At 38.8% G+C, this 22,908-nt stretch overlaps 1 long non-coding RNA gene across 2 annotated transcripts in view; it reads left to right on the forward strand.

The window, feature by feature from the left end:
- LOC124901810 (uncharacterized) overlaps positions 1-17,236 on the forward strand; it is a 152,886-nt gene extending 135,650 nt beyond the window's left edge. The window contains exons 2-4 of one of the 2 annotated variants that reach the window (XR_007060637.1): positions 6,460-6,662; positions 15,676-15,806; positions 15,917-17,236. This is a non-coding gene — a long non-coding RNA (uncharacterized LOC124901810). The remainder of the gene's footprint in view (positions 1-6,459; positions 6,663-15,675; positions 15,807-15,916) is intronic. The other variant, XR_007060636.1, reaches the window with a different exon arrangement.
- The last annotated feature ends 5,672 nt before the right edge of the window (positions 17,237-22,908 follow it).

A 22,908-nucleotide genomic window follows, 5' to 3' on the forward strand; every position in this document is an offset into this window, starting at 1 on the left:
ATTTGATCTTCTTGGCATAAAAAACATTGCCACTTGTTTGCTGAAATCAAAAAAGGCAGAACTTTTTTTTAAAAAAATCTAATAACCCTATGAAAAATATCAATGGTTATTTCAGCATTTGCCATTTCGGATAAAACCATTTTGAGTTCTCATGTTTTTTTTGTTGATGTGAACAAAATGTATTTAATATTATAGTAAAAACACTGTATATGACATATATAATTCTGCTAACTCATAAAAGATGAACATAATTTACTTATTGATTTTTATAATCAATGGCAAACAAAACTAACTACGATTTTTTTAGGCTTATCATATAAGTCACCCAAAGATAACATTAAGAGAGACACATGTTAAAGAGAGAGCAAACCTTTGATTTAATTCACAATTTAGAAAGTGTAAAAAGAGTCTGTAGAATGTTGATCCTATGAGATAACAAAAGTATATACAATTCTTATAACAACTATAATGATTAAAAACAGACACTCAAACTTAAATATTGTAGAAATTCTAATATTGCTTCTAAAGATCAAGTAAGTGAAGAATTGTTCAGAAAGGCATTTGATGCCCACTGAAGGCGGTAAGAAATCCGAAATCTTGAGGCTGTTCCAGCTGCCATGGGTGCTTGAAAAAGAGAGGGATGGAGGGAGGGAGAGAGAGACAGACAGAGAGAGAGAGAATCTCAATCCCAGTGAGCTCATTGAGCTCATTGTACCTGTGTGCTGGAGTGATTGATGTTTCCTGGATGGTCAGAATGCCTGGGACAGTGAGCTCATCCTTTGCTGGCCAGAATTTTGTCACTGTGTTTAATTTAGTCAATATGACATCATTGTATCTAGAGGAGTCAACCTTTGTAGTCACCAGCAAGATTACGGTAGACATTCCTTTGTCCGTGTCTCACCCATCATACCTCTGCTCCAGTCTGTCATGCCCATTTACCAAAACCCATAGCAATAATACTTTAGAGCATATAAGATTATAATAAATAATAAGCCTATACATGAGGAAATTAGAAGCAGGAATTTGCTTGGGTAGGTGGTATGGATAGGGAATTTACAATGACTGCCATGTGCAATAATATCCTTGAAGAAGTGGGACTACTTTGGTTGCATAGTTATTGCTGAGATGTTATGAGTAGCTGAAAGATTGTGTTTGGGGAGGAATGGTTCCGTTATCAATGCTATTGTTGTCTTGTCAATGCACCTTAGTGTAGCAGTTTCTCATTGTCTGAGCTAGTACCTGGGGTTCCTTGTCCTATGTCCAAGAAAATTAAGGAACACAGACACAAGGGTGAGGTTGGAGCAAAAGTTTAATAAGTGAAAAAAGAAAGCTCTCTGCAGCAGAGAGGGGAGTCCGAGTGGATTGCCGGGTTACAGCTGAATGCAAGAAACTTTTATAAGAAACTGTTCTCCTCCATGTAACTGTTTGAGTAACTTTTTATTAGTAAAGCTGTCTGTGCAACTCCCCTTATCTTATACAGCTGTGGGTATGTCTCTAGGCAAGCACAAAGCACTACTTCTCTTGTAGGTATAACTGTGGGTTTGTTTTAGTTAAGACCCCTCCTCCCTGTGCCTGTTTACATGGAGCCCACCGTGTATATGCCTGAAAATGGAAGGAAACTTTTTCTTGGGAGCTCTGTAATTATACAAAGAACAAAGGGCTTCTGTACTGGACCCTGTCTGCTTATCTGTGTGTAGGTGCAGCCTGAGTTTTTTCCCAGGTTGTTTTATTTTTACCTATTGCTGTGACTTTTCAGGCAGGCCACTTCTGCAGTCTAAGTTTTCCCCAACTGATTTTTCCTTTCCTTCTCCATCACTATTGGAGAGCAGAAGTTTCTGGGGACCTCATATCACAACCTGTACCTCATCCTGGTCTACAGATATCTTGTGCAAGAGTGCTGCACTAAGCTTCATCCAAGTGAAACCTTTACCTGATCACTGGAACAGGGCACGTCAGTTGACTACAGTAAGTGATCGAGTGAAGACCAAGTTTAGCTGATAATTGGGGAAACTTAGAAAAATCATGTCCAGATAATTTTGAAGAAGCATGATAAAATCCATGCCCCAGTTCAAACTTTGGGAACATACTCTGGCTTCCAGAAATTTTCTGGGTTTCAATATGTAGTCATCTGACTTATGAGGACTATTCCACATTTTAGTGTTTCACTTATTTCCTGGTCCACTTGCAAGGAGATGAGTCCATGTGTCTAATTCTGGCCAATGGACTTTGATGCTGAAGTGCCAAGCGGGGTTTCCCAGGCTCTCTTCCTTGTTCATGAGGCTAGAGGTCAAGGGCTAAAAAATGGTGGTCACAGGATAGAAGGAGCTCTAGTTCCTGAATTTGCCACTTGGAAGCTGCATAGCTATAATTTCACCCATTAATCTTAACTGAGGAAGAAACGTGTTCCCTGCTTAATCCATGCAGTAATTTTTTAATAGTAATTGGTGTCTCTTGACTAATATAATATTTCTTCTTTTGAGATTGTGAAACATGTCATTTTCAATTAAGCAAATACCATTGAGGCAAAAAATTAATTTAAAAAGTTGATTATAAGCTGACTTATGAATATTGATCACCTGAGTTTTATTTGAGGGCACCCAAATTCTCTTCTTTATCCTTTAAATGATTTTGAGAGAATTTTATTAATCTACGGAAATAATGTTGTTTGCATTTACTTTATAAGCTATTTTTCTTATGGTTAGGTTAAAAACTTTATTTAATTGTAACCAAGGAACATAATTTTTTTAAAAGAGCAAAAACCTGACTAATCAATAAACTGTGTGAGAATAATATTGAATTATGCAAAGAAAGAATTGAAGGAAAAGTTGCGTTTTCTATATTGGAAGCAAGAGAGAAGAGTAATACGAGCTCTTCTGATAACATTGAAAATTAAAATTACAGTAAAGGAAAGAGCCTTTTACATCTGGGTTGCTTTCCAGGTCAGCAAGTTAATTCTGTGTTACTTGCATTGGTGATTTAACCTCTCAAAATTTCAGTTCAAAATCAGTTAAACAGTAGTCTAAATACCTCTCACAATCAAATATGATAGAATGTAAAACAGCTCAGTACACCATAGGCATTCAGTAAATATTGATTTCTTTTTCTTTTCTTGTCCTTTCCTTGATACAAATTTTCATCATAAAATAGACAAATAAGCAAAACCCATTAAGTAACAGAGTTATAACAGGCTATAAAAATAATAAATGTTTGGAGGCAGTTTTAACAAAATTAATCCATTGGGTAATAAAGTTATAATCACACACAGCTTTTGCAACCATAAGGCCTATGATCTACTAGAGATAAAAGTATTAGCAAAGTAATTACAAGTGAGTGCATGAGAAAAATTCAAGGAGCAATAAAAATCAAATAAGGAAAATTTTAAGCAACCTAGGGATTTGCACTAGTGTTCTTAAATAAGTAATACTGAAACTGAAGACTGAAGAATATGCAGACAAAAGCAAACTATAATTAAACCCCAGGATGTGCAAAGGCTCAGTTGAGAGAATGGTGAATTTGAAAAGCTGAAAGTTAAGTTTGTCTGGGATGAAAGGTGAGAAAGGAGGAATAATTGTAAGTAAGTGTGGTACAGTACGTGAGGCAAGCTCGGGGCAGGTGGTAGCAGCCATGTGAGGGAATTTGCCATGTGCAGTAAAAGCAATGGGAAGATGCGTAGATGCATGCATGGCACTGATTCTTTACGTTCCTGTGTCCATGCCCTTTGCCATATGACTTCATAGTGGCCACTCTCTCTATCCCTGGGACCAGCCATAGCACATAAAACAACCTGGGAAAAAACTCAGGCCACTCCTGCAGACAGATAAGCAGACAGGGTCCAACACAGAAGCTCTTTGTTCTTTGTGTAATAACAAGCTCCCATAAAAAAGTTTCCTTCGCTTTTCAGGCATATACTTGCTTTGGACAATAGACTGAAATGAAAACAAAAAAAAAAAAACAGTACCAGTTTCTGAATATAGGCCTCAACACGTCTTACAAGCTTCTTATACTCTTGTACCTCTGTCAAAACTGTGAGAGAGATGAACCTTCTGGTGACAGGAGGTGATGAAAATCACTGGGAATAGATTTTTTCTAGCTAAGCATCCCAGCTGAGCAACCTTAGACAAATTCCACCTAGAGAAGATCACAAGACATCCACTGATGCATAAAGTGAACCAGCTGATCGGACTATACATGAGCAAAAGTAGCCTTTTCCGCATATGCCATCCAGCCAAGCCCTGCCTATATCAGCTAAATACTACAGATGTATGAAAAACACAATTCTACCCCCTCTAGGATAATGAAGGTTTGAGAGTTTCGGCATGCAGTGATAGAAAACACTGAGGGCTTTGAATCCAGACAGATACAAACATTTTTCACTTTTACAATATAATTTTTGATACAATAATGCAAATAAAACAGAAGAAAAAAGAAAGAAAGAAAGAAGGAAAGAAAGAAAGGAAGAAAGGAAGAGAGAGGAAGGAAGGAAGGAAAGGGAGGGAGGGAAACAAAGAAAGAAAGAAAAAGAGAAAGGGAGGGAGGGAGGAAGAAAGGAAGGAAGCAAGGAGAGGAAGGGAGGGAGGGAGGGAAAGAGAAGGAGAAAGAAAGAGAAAGAAAGAGAGAAAGAAGGAAGGAAGGAAGGAGAGAGGAAGGGGGAAGAAAAAGGAAGAAAAAGCAAAAGAAAAGAAGGAAGGAAGGAGACAGGAAGAGGGGAAGAAAAAGAAAGAAAAAGCAAAATAAAATAAAAGAAAAGATAAGAAAGTAAGTCACCAGTCTGAGGTTTAGAATAAAATGGGGGTGACTGGGGACAAATGCATAGAGAGGCATCGATTTGGAAGATATTTGAGGCATAGGAAGAATCAATAGATTGGTATATTTTGTGTATGCTACATTGACATTCAGCGATGAAACATATGCTTCTGGCTTGTATGTTTTACTAAAACAAAGATACTAAAGGAGTTAAAGGTTGTAATAGCAGAAATAATATAATTATAGATGGTTCTCAAAAATAAGAATAAATTAAATTATCTTGGGAGAGTTGCCATCATACTGATTTTAGAATTGTGACCCAAAATATATATTTGAAAGTTACTCACAATAAAAGGGGAAGACATAAAAATATATTTTGAGTTGTGGGTAAAGCTTGAGTCAAGTGATACAATTTTTAAAATATAATACCAAGCAATTGATTATGGTATATCTTGATCAAAGGTGATGTGTTTTCAGAATTATCTCAGATAAGTATGTTCATGGTGAGAGGGAGGAGTCCCTTGTAGATATGTCAACTATCTAAAGAGTTTAATATGTGTTTTTCTGGTTAGTGCAGAAATATCCTGGACATATGATAGGGTTACATCTCTTTTAAATAAGCAAACATAACATGGATAGATTTGGACACAGTTTAGCAGTCTGGGATGATGAATCTGCCTCCTTTAGAACAACGCTTTTCCATATCAGCATTACTGATATATTAGGTTGGATAATGCTTCATTGGGGAATGGGAATAGTCTTTGCATAATAAGATGTTTAACAGCATCCCTGGCCTGCGCTCACTAGATGCAAGTAGCATCTCCCAGTTGTGACAACCAGAAATGTCTCCCTACACTGCTGTAACCCTGTGGGGTAACACTGCATTGAATTGAGAAACACTGCTAAGGGTAGGTGATTTTTTAAGCTTGGAAAGCTAAATAATTAGGTATAGATTTTGCAATGTATATCAAAGCCATGATACTAATATCACTGTATATTGTTTGTTTGGTTAGTAAATGTTCATTTTTTTTCAAGAATCTTAATACAAGGTAACTTTCTGGAGGTAATGAAAATGTCCTATATTTTATGTAGGTTGTATATTACATTTGTCAAAAACTTTCTACGGAAATAGGCCCTTTTGATCTGTGCATTTTAATGTAAGTAATTATGCTTAAATTTTTTTTTTAAAAAAACAAGATTTTCTTAAAGTTTAAGGGAAATGTAGAAGTTAGGCTTTCATTTTAAGCAGCAAAGCAAAAGACAATTTCCTTAAGTGCATTATTGTACTGTGGTTTGACATAATGTCATTTACTGTATTTCTAAATTTAGTATATTGTATTTACAAAAGTTGTTTAAATGCTTTTGAAGATCACTTTTTGTTAAGCATGTAAATTCTCCCTGTAAGACATGTGAAAACACAAAGAATATAAAAATTCATATAGTTCAATACATTAAAAGAAATTTAATTAACTTGGTTTTACAAGGGTTTAAAGGGAATTTAATCTGTTCAACCTAGGTTAATTGAACCTTACTGCAACCACAAGCAAAGGTGCTATTTTTTTCTTTATTCCTCAGATGAAAACAATGTATAATGAATTTCAAAAGTTGAACTTTAAGGCTAGAGGAGCCCATATTTTTAAATTTTTAACTTTAATAAATTGAAAATTAATGTCAAATACCATAATTCTAAATAATCCTTTCTTTTTACCTGAAAAGTTTGTCAAGGACGAAACCACAAGAAACTCTGAAATAAAAGAGGCAAAGAACATTCAGGGAGACTGAACAGAAGATGCCAAAAACGTGGTAAGAAAACCCTGAGAAGAGTAGCAGAACCCATAGAGAAGAAGTGTTTGGAAGAGGTGGTGGTGGTGAACAACTTTTAATGGGAATGATCCAAGAAAAGAGAGAGGAAGAAAGAGGTCAGTTGAGTCTTAACATGGTGCCATGGCTATAGTAATTCTAGTGAAGCATATTCCAAATGAGAAAATAAGTACTTTCACAGACAGAGTAAATAAGTTTCCATACTATTTATAGACATTTTCTACCTATCTGTCTAATTCATGAATGTACTGTGAGTTTTTATGTGCATATTTATGTATACATTTACGTAACTCTCAGCTATCTTCTATCTAGTGTGAATGTGAATTACCAAAAATAAATATAAATATGGAGGAAAAAATCAAGCCTCTTCAGTTGCCTATCTCACCGAAGTAGTTCTCAAAGCTTTTGGTTAGAATAACTTGTATCAAATTCAGGCCTCACATATGAATGACTGTGTGAAAAGCTGAGCACATTATTTAAACTCTTCGCAGCCTAATTTCTCGAATCATTCAATGGAGCTAACTCGCGATGACTTGAAGATTGAGTGAGAGAATTCATGTAAAACGTTCAGGGTAGGACGTTCAGTGTTCTCCACCTGTGCGGCACAATCACCCAAGAACCTAAAATGTAGAATCAAAGGCCCACTCCCGACTTCGATTTTCAGTTGGTCTCAGGGGAGACCCAGGCATATATTTCATGTTTTTTGTTTCTGTTTTTAAATTTTCTCCAGATATTTATTATGCAGTTAGTAGAGAAATCTTAATGGGAAAACTAGTACATAGTTCATTTTCAATAAGTGGCAGCTATTATCACTGTCATCACGATCATCAACTATAATAAATGGTTTCGGCTGGGCACGATGGATCACGCCTGTAATCCCAGCACTTTGGGAGGCCGAGGCGGATGGATCACGAGGTCAGGAGATCGAGACCATCCTGGCTAACATGGTGAAACCCCGCCTCTACTAAAAAAATACAAAAAATTAGCCGGGCGTGGTGGCGGGCGCCTGTAGTCCCAGCTACTTGGGAGGCTGAGGCAGGAGAATGGCGTAAAACCTGGGAGGCAGAGCTTGCAGTGAGCCGAGATGCACCACTGCACTCCAGCCTGGGTGACAGAGCGAGACTCCATCTCAATAAATAAATAAATAAATAAATAAATAAATAAATAAATGGTTTCTTCAATGAATTTTCACAGTTAAAGAAATTACATTGACATTGGCACCTGAAGGTTGCCTGAAGGCAAATAGAAAATAATACAAATGAACCACTGATTTTTAAAGCTATTATAAACTTCTTACTATAAAAATGAAATTTGCATTTATCTATGGCAGAGTTACTGTAAGGATTAGCATCATATCATTATCTCCTTTTGGCAGAGAAGATATAAATTGTGTCTTTCAGCTGAATCATTGTAATCAGAATTTAAATTCATATAGTTTTAATTACATTCAACTTTTTATAAAATTATTACATTTGATGAATGAACTATTAGAAGACACCTCAAAATATCAATTACTTAAAAATGTACCTAGTCATAAGAAAACTTTTATTTAATAAAAATGACAGCATAGTTCCATAAAATTTAATAGCAATTTATATGTTACATATTCTCAATTGGAAAGAATGTGTGGCATTATAGCCGTGTTATAACTACTGCTTATGAGTTAAGGACATGTGCAGAAGACCAGGAATACAGTGTTTTGTGGTCACCAACAAAATAATAAAATGCATTCCCAAGTATATAAATTATTAATCATTTTTGAATTATCATTGCCCTTAAGTCTTTCAAATTTGCTGAACATTCTCCCATTTTATAAATCCTTGAAACTTCATTTGCAAAATGTGGCATTTCAGATAAATTCAGCCTGCAGCACATACTCTAGGACCATGCAGATGATGCACTCATCCTGACCGCTCTCCTCCGCTGATGAGGACACTTGACATTTCATCAACGAGGCGTTTGAGGACCAGGTAGACGCTCACTGCAAACCTAAGGGCCATCAGATGCAGAGGAAGCCACTTGCAATTGATTGTTCTCCTTAAACAACTTCCCTTTTAGGCTTCTGACATGATCTGTGATCTTCTGACATTTTGTGTTGCTTCCTTAATTTCAGTTTTGCTTTGTTGTGACCAAAAAAGTAACTTCCTTGGAAGTCTGACACAAGTTAAATTTCTCAGTACAATTTAGCCTTTCAGCTAGAATGTTATTGAAAGTTGTTAGTATTTGAGATAAATATGGAGTAAATATTTAGTCTAGTAATAAGGAGAAAACATCTTAAGAGCTTAGCAGTAGCCTTAGTAGATATTGAAAAACCTTGCCACACACACCTCTCGTTAATATCTGGGGTATGGTGGAGGAAGTCCAACATGTTCCTCAGGCTACCCATTGGAGGTAGGGTCTCTGCACATACTCCCTAGTGACTTTTGGCCAGCAACTCTCTTATCCTCTGTATTTCACTCACTGGTTAATTGATGTACATCTTTCATATTTTTAACTTATGTCTCTTTATTCATTAGGGCATTTCCATTGAAAAATTTAAAGGGACATGTTTTTAAAATGAGAGAGGATGTATCATTTCATTTTAAATTTAAATTACCATTAAAATAAGAAAAAGTGCTGTATTCTGGGTGCTAAGAAGATGCACGAACAAATTTAGCTAAGAAGGTCTTTTAATGCAGCATGCTGGGCTACCTCCCTTCGCTGGGTCAGGTTGTCTCTGTATGGCCATTACAGAATAATGCCTTTATGGAAGTATATATTAAACTAAACTGAAAATTAGGGAGATTTATGTGTCTTCAGAATGCACCAAAAGCCACTTGAATTTGCTGAAATCTGGACCTTATTAGACACTGACTTATTTTCTTTTACATAATAATGAAAGAAAAAAAATGTATGCCTCCATTATGTCAGAGGAAGCCCATTTTGTGCAGCTAGTTTGGGATACTCTATATCAGAAGAGGAGATGAAAACGTGTTAAAACAATTAATTCAGAATCCAGGGCACAGGAGCTATTAGACTGAGGAGTGTCCTGTGCCCTGGATTTCACGTAAGCAAATCAAAACCCAGCTCAGTGTAAATGGTCATAGTCTGGGATAATGAAATATAAGCTTAACCAATTTGAAGCCACCAACTAACCTCTAGCTAGGAACCTTTCACGGGAATGATCCAAATAAGGCTACTGTTCCACTGTAACCAGTTATGTTTTCTTTGTCTTGATACTATGTTCACCTTATATATACTTTCCTTTCATGCCCTTTCCAAGGAGCCCCAAACCACTTGTGGTCTGGAGCTGCCTAATTCATGAATTGCTGTCTGCTCAAATGAACTCTTTAAAATTTTAATGTGTCTACGTTTATCTTTAAACATAAATCATCCTTCTACTTTTGCCTTCCCTCTAAGGTGGTTGAGATCTGAGCTTTGTAAATGAACATTATACATCAGACAAGACCCAATTTTCTCACATACCTTTACTTCTGACTTCTTTATTTCATCTTTATAGTAACTGCCTTTTTAATGTTTTCTTATTTCAAATTGACTTAAATAAAATCAGCACATTTTTAAAGTTAGATGGCATATTTTTTAAGTTATATGATTTAAGGAAAATGTTACTGCAATTCTAAAAAATATAAGGTGGTTACATACTTGCAACAAGTTTTAATGGTTTTTTTTCAATTAAAGATTGTAAATTACTTCTCCTGAGAGAGACATTTTTCTCTTACCAAGAATTTTTCCTCACTCTGCTTTTCTGGGTATTATAGCTGTTATGACTGCATAAGCCAAGTTGTTTTGACTTAGCTTTATGATCTTAAGAAAATCACTTAATCTTAATTCTGTTACATTAGTTTATCTTCTAAAAAATGGGTTTAAAAAGAGTAGCTTCCTTCTAGTTTTGCTATGAAGTCTAATGAAATTAATGAACAACAAGCTTGAAGGACAATAAGCCTTAGCTATTATTTTGGCAGCATGATGATAGGATATGTTAGATTTCTTTATACAGAATGTCATCATTTAAATTTCTCATATCAAATGGAGGAGACATTATTCCCATGCCTTTTCTCTCAGAACAACATTTATTAATACTCTCAGTTTTCTTACTTGTATTTTCAAATTCTAGTGAGAATAAAATAGGTCACATTTGTGTTACTCTTGTCCTACATTGATCTACAGAAACTTCAAAGAAGCCCCGGAACTGCTCTGAAAATATATCTCCATATGTCCCCATTTTAGTAAACATGCAGATGTCCCTTCAGTGGGTTGCTCTGGAACAAGGTCTGAAAGTCAGTTTCTAGTCCAGATGAGGAGCGAAGCAGTAAACAAGGCCAGTGAGGCCTGTTCTCATGGAGCTTGCATTCTGGTAGGAGGGAGAGAGTACATGAGTGAATAAATACATCTAAACATGTCAGCTAGTGATGCATGCGAAGTATATAGTTAAGGCAACGAGATGGAGAGGTTCCAGGCCCTTAGGCAGGGCCATTAGGCCATCCCACTATTGCAGTCTTTCTCCTAAGCCACAGCATCTTGCTTTTTTAGATTTTTCAGTAGTTAGGGGGAGCCCAACCGGGCTCTGAGTCTCTCAGGTACCACAAGACATTCATCTAGTTCTGGTTCCTTTTGGAAAACTTTCTCTAGGTTTGAAGTGAGGAAGAAGCATTCCATTCCTGCTCTAGATCTCATGATTGGGAAACTCACCACACATGAATTAATTCCTGTTTAAAATTACCTCCAGTCTTCAGTGTCTCTGACAGGAACCAGGAGATGAGATTTTGTGCTTTTTGGTATTGACCTCCATGGCAGTCTCACAGCTCCTTTTGCTCTGTGATCTCTACCAATATTCTTAGAAATTCAGTAAAAATGGAGGGAGAAATTTCTGAGTGCAATTTTTACCCCCCCCCCGTTGTATGGGAATTGGCTGCCTTTTAGACTAAGTCACTCCAGCCCAAGGACGGAGCATTGATGGGAACTCTGTATTTTCACTCTGATCCCGGGAAACTGCAGACAGAAAGAAAATATTTTTTTTGTCATGCAAAAATAATCAACTTCCCCAATATCAGAGTCTGGGTCCAATACACTGTGTGGTTCACAGAAGAGGCTCATTACAGCTTAAAGGTTCTTTCCCAAGGAAAAGTTTGTTTGACTACCTTACTGAAGCTAGAAATGCAACAATGCCGATTTCTCACGTGTATCTGTAGTTATTCTAGAATGATGCATACATGAATTTCATACTACATGCTTCTGCTATGTTTAATTCCCTTATTCCCAATGACTCATATTATCTTTATAAAGTCACTAGAGAAAGAGTACAAGACTCTTTATGCTTTAGAGAGGTGTGTTGTTATTGGTAGCAATAACAAATATTGCAGGTAAGCAGAGTCCTAGTAAAACAGGCAGTATTTTACATGCAATCCATTTAAAAACCAAGCATCTGGAAATTCCTAGGAGCTAAAGAAAGTTATCCAAACAAGTGATAGCATCTCTATAAGTGCTGAATCCCTGAGCCCCCTTTATAGGGGCTGAGCGAGTGGAAGGAAGCCAGCCCCAGGCAGAACAGGCACTTCAGAAATTTAAGCAAATGAACATCTTTACCTTTATGCCACATTGGCTGAAGCTAAAATTTGTCCCCCAGAGTTATGGCCACCAAAAGATGTTCAAAACATAACATGGACTACATTTTAAAGGGAAATCTGTGCGAAAACACCACAAGCATAAGGTGAGAATGAGAATGGATCCTTTAAGAAAAAAACAAACAAACAATGAATTTTACTGCTGGAAAATACAACTTCTGTAAGGTTACAGTGGTGTAGACACTAAACCTAAATAGAGACAAGATTATGGAGAAAGGTATACAGAAAAGGAGTTTGTCTTTTCAAATTTGACAGTGGAGTTCTGTATCTAATTACACACATGTGTATGCTCCAACACCCTGGGTGTTGTCAAACACCTGCTTCTTTATGAGGAGCTAACAAACTCTTATTGTGTTCCCCAATAGACAAACTCTGGCTTCTATTTTTTTCTCATTTCCTCTGGATGGAATGGTAGGTTCCAAAATTAATCTGTACTATAGGTGTATTAGTCAGGGTTCTCTAGAGGGACAGAACTAATAGGATATATATAATAGTTCATTATATATATTCTATATATGTTACATATATCTAATGCATTATTATATATGCATATAATAAAGGGGAGCTTATTAAGTAGTATTAACTCACACAATCACAAGGTCCCACAATAGGCTGCCTGCAAGCTGAGGGGAAAGGAAGCCAGTCTGAGTCCCAAAGCTGAATAACTTGTCCAATGTTTGAGGGCAGGAAGCATGCAGCACTGGAGAGAGATGTAGGCTGAGAGGCTAAGCCAGTCTAGTCTTTTCAAGTTCTTCTGTCTGCTTTTTATTCTGGCTGCACTGGCAGCTGATTAGATGGTGCCCACCCAGATTGAGGGTGGGTCTGCCTTTCCCCACCCACTGACTCAGATGTTAATCTCCTTTGCCAACACCCTTACAGACACAGGCAGGAACACTATTTTGCATCCTTCAATCCAATCAACTTGACACTCAGTATTAACCATCACAATGGGATTATTCCGAACGTATGCACTTATGGTTCTGAGTCCCTATACTATTTTTAACGTATCTACATATTTAGTGCAAATTATTCTGCTTGTAAGCTCTTATATTTCTTAATGTTAAATAGCACATGCTATTTACTGAAATGTGGACAATAAGCAACTATTGAAAAGAAAAAATGATATAAAATTCTAACAATTAACATCAACATTTTGATGCATTTCCTAATGTTATTCTTTCTATGAATTTATTTACATAGAATTAATATATTATAAAGTTGAGATCATGCTTTATATACAATATTGATTCCTTGTCAGTAAATTACATTATTTATAATTGTTGAGCCAATATGATAACATTGCAACAAATATCATTATACGTCAGTCTTGTGCACTGGATTACTATTTAGATGTTTTGTCTAGCAGTGAGGTCATTAAGGCAAAACTATAACAATTTTATTACTCTTTATAGATATTGCCAGAAAACATTTCAAAGACAAAGGGCTGTATGAGAAGACACAATTCTATTTTAAATTAATCACTTCTAGAACTTCACATCTTCCAAGAACAGACTCTGAAGGTCAAGTACCCTGCTCCAAGGGCTTTCTTATTTTGCAGGGAGACTGGAACTCCAAAAAGAAAATAAAACTACATTCTAATAATCAGAAACTGTCAGGAAGGGAAAGAACTCTATTTTATAATGCATCATGAAATAAATGAGTTTTCATAAGTGAGTAGACATCCATTTACCCTTTGCATTCCAAGGATAGTGGATGAAGCAAGGCTGAGCTTCTGCACTTCTCAATGCCTTTGTTAATATATGCAAGGAGGCACCAACTGCTTGGATATTTTTAGGCAGGCACATTGTTGGCAGGATTCTATGCCTGACTTGGTTGAGGACTCATTACATCAGTCAAAAATGATTAAAGGAAAATTTTGTAAGTTTCCTCCCTGAATGATTCTATAAAATCATGAAGTGATATTAGAAAATTCATACAAATTTGTGTTTCTCACCTATCATAGTTTGGGCTAATAACATCTCAAACCTCCGCTATTTCTCTTGCCTTCAGATTTCCTCTGGGTCTCAAGATTTTAACAGAGGCCATGCCTTGCCTGGGGTCCACTCCACATTCATTCCTCCTTTTCCTCCTCTGTTTCTGGACAGAGTCATCAAGGGATAATTTTATAGCACCCTCTTTATTTCAATTGGCTCTCTAGTCTATCAAACCATTTTCTTCTAATGGAATATTACTTTTTCTTCTTTCTTTATACTTAGCAAAGTTTCTGGGGTTTTTTTGTATTAATTTACTTTTTTTTTTTTTTTCTTTTTCAGTCTCACCTTCTAGATGCTCTCTGGGATCAAGGTCTTCATCAATTATTCCCAAAGTCTAATACACAAAAATAGTCAATTCATAATTGACATAATACATCTTTACTTGATGAAACATTGCATTAGCAAACTCTGTATCATTGATACGGTTATTTTGACAAGCTATAATTTTATATTATTGACATTTTAAATTTGTCATAATGTTACCTACTAATTTTAAATAACTGAATCAATACAGAGCAGAAAGTAAAAAGTAACACAATGTAGAAATAATCTCACCATCAGAAATGAATATCATTATCTTTTGGTGAATAACTTTCCATAAATCTTTTATTACAATGATTTGGATAAACGTTCAGAGAAATCGGAAAACTCTTCAGAGAAACAGGTTGACAGATATATTGTTATATATAAAGAAATCTCACCAAATATTTATTTTATTTTTATTTTTATTTATTTATTTATTTTTTGAGACGGAGTCTCACTCTGTCGTCCAGGCTGGAGTGAAGTGACGTGATCTCGGCTCACTGCAAGCTCTGCCTCCCAGGTTCACGCCATTCTCCTGCCTCAGCCTTCCGAGTAGCTGGTACCACATGTGCCCGCCACCACGCCTGGCTAATTATTTGTATTTTTAGTAGAGATGGGGTTCCACCGTGTTAGCCAGGATGGTCTCAATCTCCTGACCTTGTGATCCGCCTGCCTCAGCCTCCCAAAGTGCCGGGACTACAGGCGTAAGTCACCGCACCCAGCCATTTTATTTTATTTATTTATTTATTTTTTTGAGACAGAGTCTTGCTCTGTCACCTTAGGCTGGAGTGCAGTGGCACAATCTCCGCTCACTGTAACCTCTGCCTCCTGGGTTCAAGTGATTTTCCTGTCTCAGACTTCCGAGTAGCTGGGATTACAGGTGCCTGTCACCACGCCCAGCTAATTTTTGTGTTTTCAGTAGAGACAGGGTTTTGTCATGTTGGCCAGGATGGTCTCGAACTCCTGACCTCAGGTGATCCACCCTCCTCAGCCTCCCAAAGTGCTGGGATTATAGGCGTGAGCTACTGCTCCTGGTCCCAAATATTTATTTTAAATATAATCTAGTGCTATGGACTGAATTTATGTGTTAAATCCCTAATCACCAATATAACTGCATTTAGCGAATGGGGGTTTTAGGAGGTAATTAAATTAGGGTGGGGTTTTATAGAATTGATAGATCTCTCTCTGTCTAGGCACACATACTGAGGAAAGGCCATGTGTAGACACACATAAAGGAGGTGTCCATCTGCAAACCAAGAAGAGAGCCTTCACCAAAACCCTTCCATGCTGGCACCTTGACCTTGAACTTATGGCCTCCAGAATTGTGAGAAAATACATTTTTGTTGTTTATACCCCCCCAATTATGGTATCATGTTATGGTAGCCTGAGCCGAGTAATGCATCTGTTAAATTTAATTTAAATTTATTTTAACAGAAGAAGATGAATTGAAATCGTATTGAAGGGACTTGGATGACTCCATCAAATGTCTCCTCATCCCAGGGATAATGTTTAAAACGTCATCTAATCTGGACAAAAATATTTGAAAACAAACAAACAAAAAAGGCGGGGGGCACCAGTGAGCATACGGAGACTGTATTACGTAAGAAGAAAGGAAGATGTGAATATAGTAGAGACTGGAGGAGTTCACATTTCAAGTTTCAAGGAGACACAGAAGATAGCCAATTGTAGAAAAGAAGAAAAAACTTTAAAGGTAAAGAATAAAAGAAACATATCTACCTAAAAGAAACATATCTACCTATCAATTATCTAGATATAGGTAGAGGTATACAGAGATGGAGACATAAATACATATATATATGTAGATATATAGATCCATGTAAAGAGAGATATAGACACAGAAAAAAGAAAAAATGAAGGAGTGAAGAAAGGCACCATGGTGAATTGGTTTGTATTCTATTAATGACAAATGTGAGGGAAGCTGAGACAGTGGCTAACTTTATTTGAAATTCTATTTAATTGAATTGGACTTCTTTACTGGATTTTTTTTAAAAGGAGCATTCATCAGTGTTATACTTCCTGAATTTTATTGTGTTTGGTAATATCTTCGGCTAGGGATAAAAGCTGGGTGCCAAACTTAGCTTCGATATCTGGCTGGCTCTTCTGATACGAGATATTACTGAGGAGAACTCTAAGTGGTGATTCTGTCTTACATGTAGGCTTCCTTTTTGCTCTAGTTACCTACAGAATTATTTCTACTTCTGTAATTTTAATATTAAATAACTTGGCTATTACTCAGATTAAAAAAAATTTCTTGATCAGTATGTGTGCTTATTCCACCTATGGATTCAAAACTTTTTCCACACAGTAGGATGACTATAGTTAAATTTTATTGTATATTTCAAAATAGCTACAGGAGTGGATATGGAATGTTCCCAACATAAACAAATAATAGATATTGAGGTGATGGCCCAATGACCCTGAATTGGTCATTACATATTCTACACTTGTAACAAAATATCGTATGTACCTTATACAAAAATTATGTGTTCATAAAAATGGAAACTAAAACATTAACTAAAAAGAAAAACTATTTTAAAAACTGTATTCATATCGGGAAAATGATCCTAACCTTGAAGTTTCTGTGACCCATTTCGTGTGCTTTCTGTTTATCTCTTCACTAATTTTTCCATCAGGATGGTAATAGCATATTTTAAAAATGGTAAACCACGGTTATATAGTTCTTGAAAATATAAACATTATGAATAAAATAAGTTCTGTTGAAGACCAACCAAAGTCTCTTCCTCTCACCTTCTCCCTCCCACCCCTATAGAAGACACTATTATCAGTTCCATGTTTATCCTTCCACATTTCCTCTTATTTATTTTCAGTGCATACATGCAAATATATAGTATTTTTTGATTTCTATTTTATTACATTTGAAGAGTCCTGTCATCTTTATGAGACCTTCTTTACACATGTTGGTGAGGTAAGAGGTCAGCAAGGCTTGTTTTCCTGTCCCAACCCTCCTGACCAAAACAAGATCCAGTCCAGACAGGATGAAGTGAAGACACCAGTAGGAACCAGCAGATGGGAGGAAGGTGAGCCCTGGCTGCTCTCATTGCTCCCACCAGCTCCATGACACTTTAGAAATGCCATGGCAATGACCCGGAAGTTACCACCCCTTTCCTTGTCAATAATCTGGAAGTTACTGCCCATTTCCTAGAAAGTTCTGAATAATCCAACCCCTCAATTTGCATTAACCCACCCTTTAATTTGCATGTAATTGTAAGTCGGTATAAAAGTGGGTATAAATACAGATGCCAAGAACACATTTTTTTTTTTTTTTTAGAGTCTTGCTCTATCGCCCAGGCTAGAGTACACTGGTGCAATATCAGCTCACTGCAACCCCTGCCTCCCAGGTTCAAGCGATTCTCCTGCCTCAGCCTCCTGAGTAGCTGGGATTACAGGTGCTGGCCACCACGCCCAGCTAATTTTTGTTGGTCAGGCTGGTCTGGAACTCCTGACCTCATGATCCGCCCTCCTCAGCCTCCTGAAGTGCTGGGATTATAGGCATGAGCCGCCGTGCCTGGCTGAGCACATATGTTAACTCTGGTTGCAATGTTTGCAAGTCAGCCCTGCTTCACAAGGAGTGGCACCTTCAATACAAGGTTGTTGTCTACCACCTCCTGTTTGCCCTTGAATTCTTCCCTGGGTGAATCCAAGAAACCTCCCAAGCTAAGCCTCAATTTGGGGGCTTGCCTGTCCTACTTCCTTAGTACAAGTACATCTAACTCAGGCCTTTGAACTGCTATATAGTATGATATATTTTGACATATCAGTTTATTTATTATTTAGCACTTTTCAGTCTTTGCTATAATGACACTTAATAAGCATGTAAATAGGCGGGGATTATGATAAAAACACACCTCTGGGATTACTGTGTTATGGAAACTTTAAATTTCAATAGATTTCCAAAATTATATTCCAAGTGCAACTAACAAATTTTATTACTGCCACAAGATAACTTTGTATCAAACAATTATATAGGCTGGGTGCTGTGGCTCATGCCCATAATCTCAGCACTTTGGGAGGCTAAGGAAGGAGGAATGTTTAGGCCAGGAGTTTGAGACCAGCTTGTGCAACATAATGAGACCCTGTCTCTACAAAAAAACAAAACAAACATTTTCTAAACACGATATGATGGAATGTTTTAATATTTGCCATGTATGTTTCCTAGGGCTACATAGCAAAGTGCCACATACTGGGTGGCTTAAAACAACAGTTGTTATTCTCTCCCAGTTCTGGAATCTAGAATTTCAAAATTAAGGCTGTCTTTGGCCCCCACAATAACTCACTGCAACTCCTGAGAGTGGCTGGCCCTTGGGTATCATGGCAGCTTCTCCATCCAAACCTTCACTCAGGATTCCGCTCTGGAGCCCAGTGTCCCAGCCCTCCCTTCCAGGCCCACAGTGGAGTCCGTCCCTGCAGGACACACAGTCAGGCACCTGTCTTACCCCTGTCCTTCTCCTTACCATGCTTCCAGTTGTCATGATTGTCCACTTACTGTTTCTGAACTACCAGGTGCTCCTTCTGCTTTCTGTTTGTTTTTTGAGACGGAGTCCTCGCTCTGTCGCCCAGGGGAGTGCAGTGGCATGATCTCGGCTCACTGCAACTTCCACCCCCAGGGTTCATGCCATTCTCCTGCCTCAGCCTCCAGAGCAGCTGGGACTACAGGCACCCACCACCATGCCCGGCTAATTTTTCGTTGTTTTTTTTTTTTTTTTTGGTAGAGAAGGGGTTTCAATGTGCTAGTCAGGATGGTCTCGATTTCCTGACCTCGTGATCTGCCCGCCTCGGCCTCCCAAAGTGCTGGGATCACAGGCGTGAGCCACATGCCCAGCCTTTTTATTTATTTATTTTAAATCTGTGGTATATGCTTTTCAGAAATAACGTCTATTGCCAGACGCGGTGGTTCACACCTGTAATCCCAGCACTTTGGAAGGCCAAGGCGGGTGGATCACCTGAACACTTGAAGTCAGGAGTTCGAGAACAGCCTGCCCAACATGGTGAAACCCTGTCTCTACTAAAAATACAAAAATTAGCTGGGTGTGGTGGTGGGCACCTGTAATCCCAGCTACTCGGGAGGCTGAGGCAGGGCAATCACTTGAACCCGGGAGGCTGAAGTTGCAGTGAGCCGAGATCATGCCACTGCATTGCACTCCAGCCTGAGTGCAGACTCCATCTCAAAAAATAAAAATAAGAAGAAATAACATCTATTATATCCATGGCATTATTTTTTCGTTGAGGAGATTGTGGGTTTTGCTTGGTCTACTCTTTGTTTCCAATTAATTCTGAAGTTTTGAAATTATGCTACTTGCTTCTCAGTCATTCTTATTTCCCCAATTTCCTTTTTAATCTAATTCAATTGTTTTGTCAGGTTTCTTTTATCTTCCACATTTGTTTTCTTTTAAATGTGTTTAATCCTAAGCATTTCTATTACTTGATGCTTGTGTTAGAATTGTATTTCTCTTCTTCAGATGGCATTTTTTCATCTGCCTCTCACCCTTACATGTTGAATCCTGTTTTTTTTTCCTTCTGAGGTATCTTTTACTCTTTTTCATGCCTTTTAATTCTTTTGTTTTTGTTTGATATGGGAAGTTATTTGTTTCAATAGATCAAGTTTTTCTTAACTTTCTTACCTTTTTGTGCAGAGACCCATTTGCTTTGTTTTCCCCAGTTCTCTCTTCCTTCATTTTTCCTTTCCTTCTTTCCTTGTTCCTTCCATTTCCCTTCCTCTTTTCAGTCTTCTTCCCTCTCCTTACACACACACACACACACACACACACACTTTTTTGCTGAAATACTTTGTTGAAAACTGCTGGTAACATACTACTTAAATCTCAAGTATTTCTCAAGTAAAAGAAGGTCCTCCTGTATAAACACCTATTATTGTCACACCCAAGATATTTATAGAGTCAATAATACCACAAATAGTAGTCTATGATTGAATGTCCCAAGTTGTTCCAGAGTGTCCGTCCTCCATAGCTATCTTCTATGTGGCACCGGAATCTGATTAGTGTTCATTCATTGTGTGTGAATGGTGTGGCGATTTAGTCTCCTTTCATGAAGTTTATACTCCACCACTTTTTTTTTGCCTTTCATGACATTGATATTTTAAATGAATCCTGGCTAGTTTTAGTGTGAAATAGCACACAGTTCAGATTACAGTGTTTTGCAAAGTTTAAATTCATGTTAATCATTTTTAACAATAAATGACAGTATCACTTGTGGATTTTTCCATAGTGTTGTGTCTGGAATTGGTGGGTTCTTGGTCTCGCTGACTTCAAGAATGAAGCCGCGGACCCTCGCGGTGAGTGTTACAGTTCTTAAAGAAGGCGTGTCTGGAGTTTGTTCCTTCAGATATTCAGATGTGTCTAGAGTTCCTTCCTCCTGGTGGGTTCGTGGTCTCAGGCTGACTTCAGGAGTGAAGCAACAGACCTTCGCAGTGGGTGTTACGGCTCTTAAAGGCGGTGCGTCTGGAGTTATTTATTCCTTCCAGTGAGTTCGTGGCCTTCCTGGCTTCAGGAGTGAAGCTACAGACCTTCACAGTGATTGTTACAGCTCATAAAGGTGGCACGGAGCCAAAGAGGGAGCAGCAGCAAGATTTATTGAAAAAAGCAAAAGAACAAACCTTCCACAGCATCCATGGGGACCCAGCAGGTTGCTGCTGCTAGCTCGGGCAGCCTGCTTTTATTTCCTTATCTGACCCCACCCACATCCTGCTGATTGGTCCATTTTACAGAGAGCTGATTGGCCCATTTTACAGAGAGCTGATTGGTCCGTTTTGACAGGGTGCTGATTGGTGCATTAACAAACCTTGAGCTAGACACAAAAGTTCTCCAAGTCCCTACTAGATTAGCTAGACACAGAGCACTGATTGGTGTGTTTACAAACCTTGAACTAGACACAGAGTGCTGATTGGTGCATTTACAATCCTTTAGCTGGACACAAAAGTTCTCCAAGTCCCCACCAGATTAGCTAGACACAGAGCACTGATTGGTGCATTCGTGCATTTACAATCCTCTAGCTAGACATAAAAGTTCTCCAAGTCCCCACCAGATTAGGTAGATACAGAGTGCTGATTGGTGCATCCACAAACCCCGAGCTAGACACAGAGTGCTGATTGGTGCATATACAATCCTCTAGCTAGACATAAAAGTTCTCCAAGTCCGCACCCAACTCAAGAGCCCAGCTGGCTCCGCCTGGTGGATCCCGCGCCGGGGCCGCAGGCGGAGCTGCCCGTCATTCCCGCGCCATGCGCCCGCACTCCTCAGCCCTTGGGCGGTCGATGGGACCAGGCGCCGTGGAGCAGGGGGTGGCGCCCGTCAGGGAGCCTTCGGCCGTGCAGGAGCCCACGGGGTTGGGGGTTGGGCTTGCCCATGGCAGGCTGCAGGTCCTGAGCCCTGCCCTGTGGAGGGGGCTGAGGCCCAGCAAGAATTCAAGCACAGCACGGGCGGGCTGGCAGTGCTGGGGGACTGGGCGCATCCTCCACAGCTGCTGGCCCAGGTGCTAAGCCCCTCACTGCCCAGGGCCTGCGGAATCAGCCTGGGGCTCCAAGAGCAGGGCCACCAAGCCCACGCCCACCTGAAACTCGTGCTGGCCCACGAGGGTCACACGCAGCCTCTGTTCCCGTCTGCGCCTTTCCCTCCACACTTCCCACAAGCAGAGGGATCTGGCTCCAGCCTCGGCCAGCCAAGAGAGGGGCTCCAACAGTGCAGCGGCAGGCTGAAGAGCTCCTCAAGAGTGGCCAGAGTGGGCGCTGAGGCTGAGGAGGCGCTGAGAGGGAGCAAGGGCTGCCAGCACGCTGTCACCTCTCAGTGTTGCAATAAGAGGTGCATGTTATCAGTTTGCTCCATGATCCGTGATATTGAGGTAACGTTTCTTCTTGTAATTAAGCACTGGTCTGTGGCATAATACATTCAGAATCTGAGACTCTCCGGCTGACAGCACATTTTCACCCAACGAACCTTGTAGCCTCCCTGTCTCCATTACTATATGATGTTGCAGATTAGAAACATATCACATTGCATGTAAGAAGGGAGCTTTCTAACTCTATACTTCCCATAAGGTGAAAATTTTCTTTTTTCTTTTCTTTTTTTCTTTTTGAGATGGAGTCTCACTCTGTGGCCAGGCTGGAGTGCAGTGGCATGATCTTGGCTCACTGCAACCATGCCTCTTGGGTTCAAGTGATTCTCCTGTCTCCGCCTCCCGAGTAGCTGGGAGTATAGGCGCACACCACCATGCCCAGCTAATTTTTTGTATTTTTAGTAGAGATGGGGTTTCACCATGTTGGCCAGGATGATCTCGATTTCTTGACCTTGTGATCTGTCCACCTCAGCCTCCCAGTGTGCTGAGATAACAGGCATGCGCCACTGCACCTGGCCGAGGTGAGAATTTTCTACGAA

The sequence above is a fragment of the Homo sapiens genome, chromosome 7 (assembly GCF_000001405.40).
Source record: "Homo sapiens chromosome 7, GRCh38.p14 Primary Assembly".
NCBI lineage: Eukaryota > Metazoa > Chordata > Mammalia > Primates > Hominidae > Homo > Homo sapiens.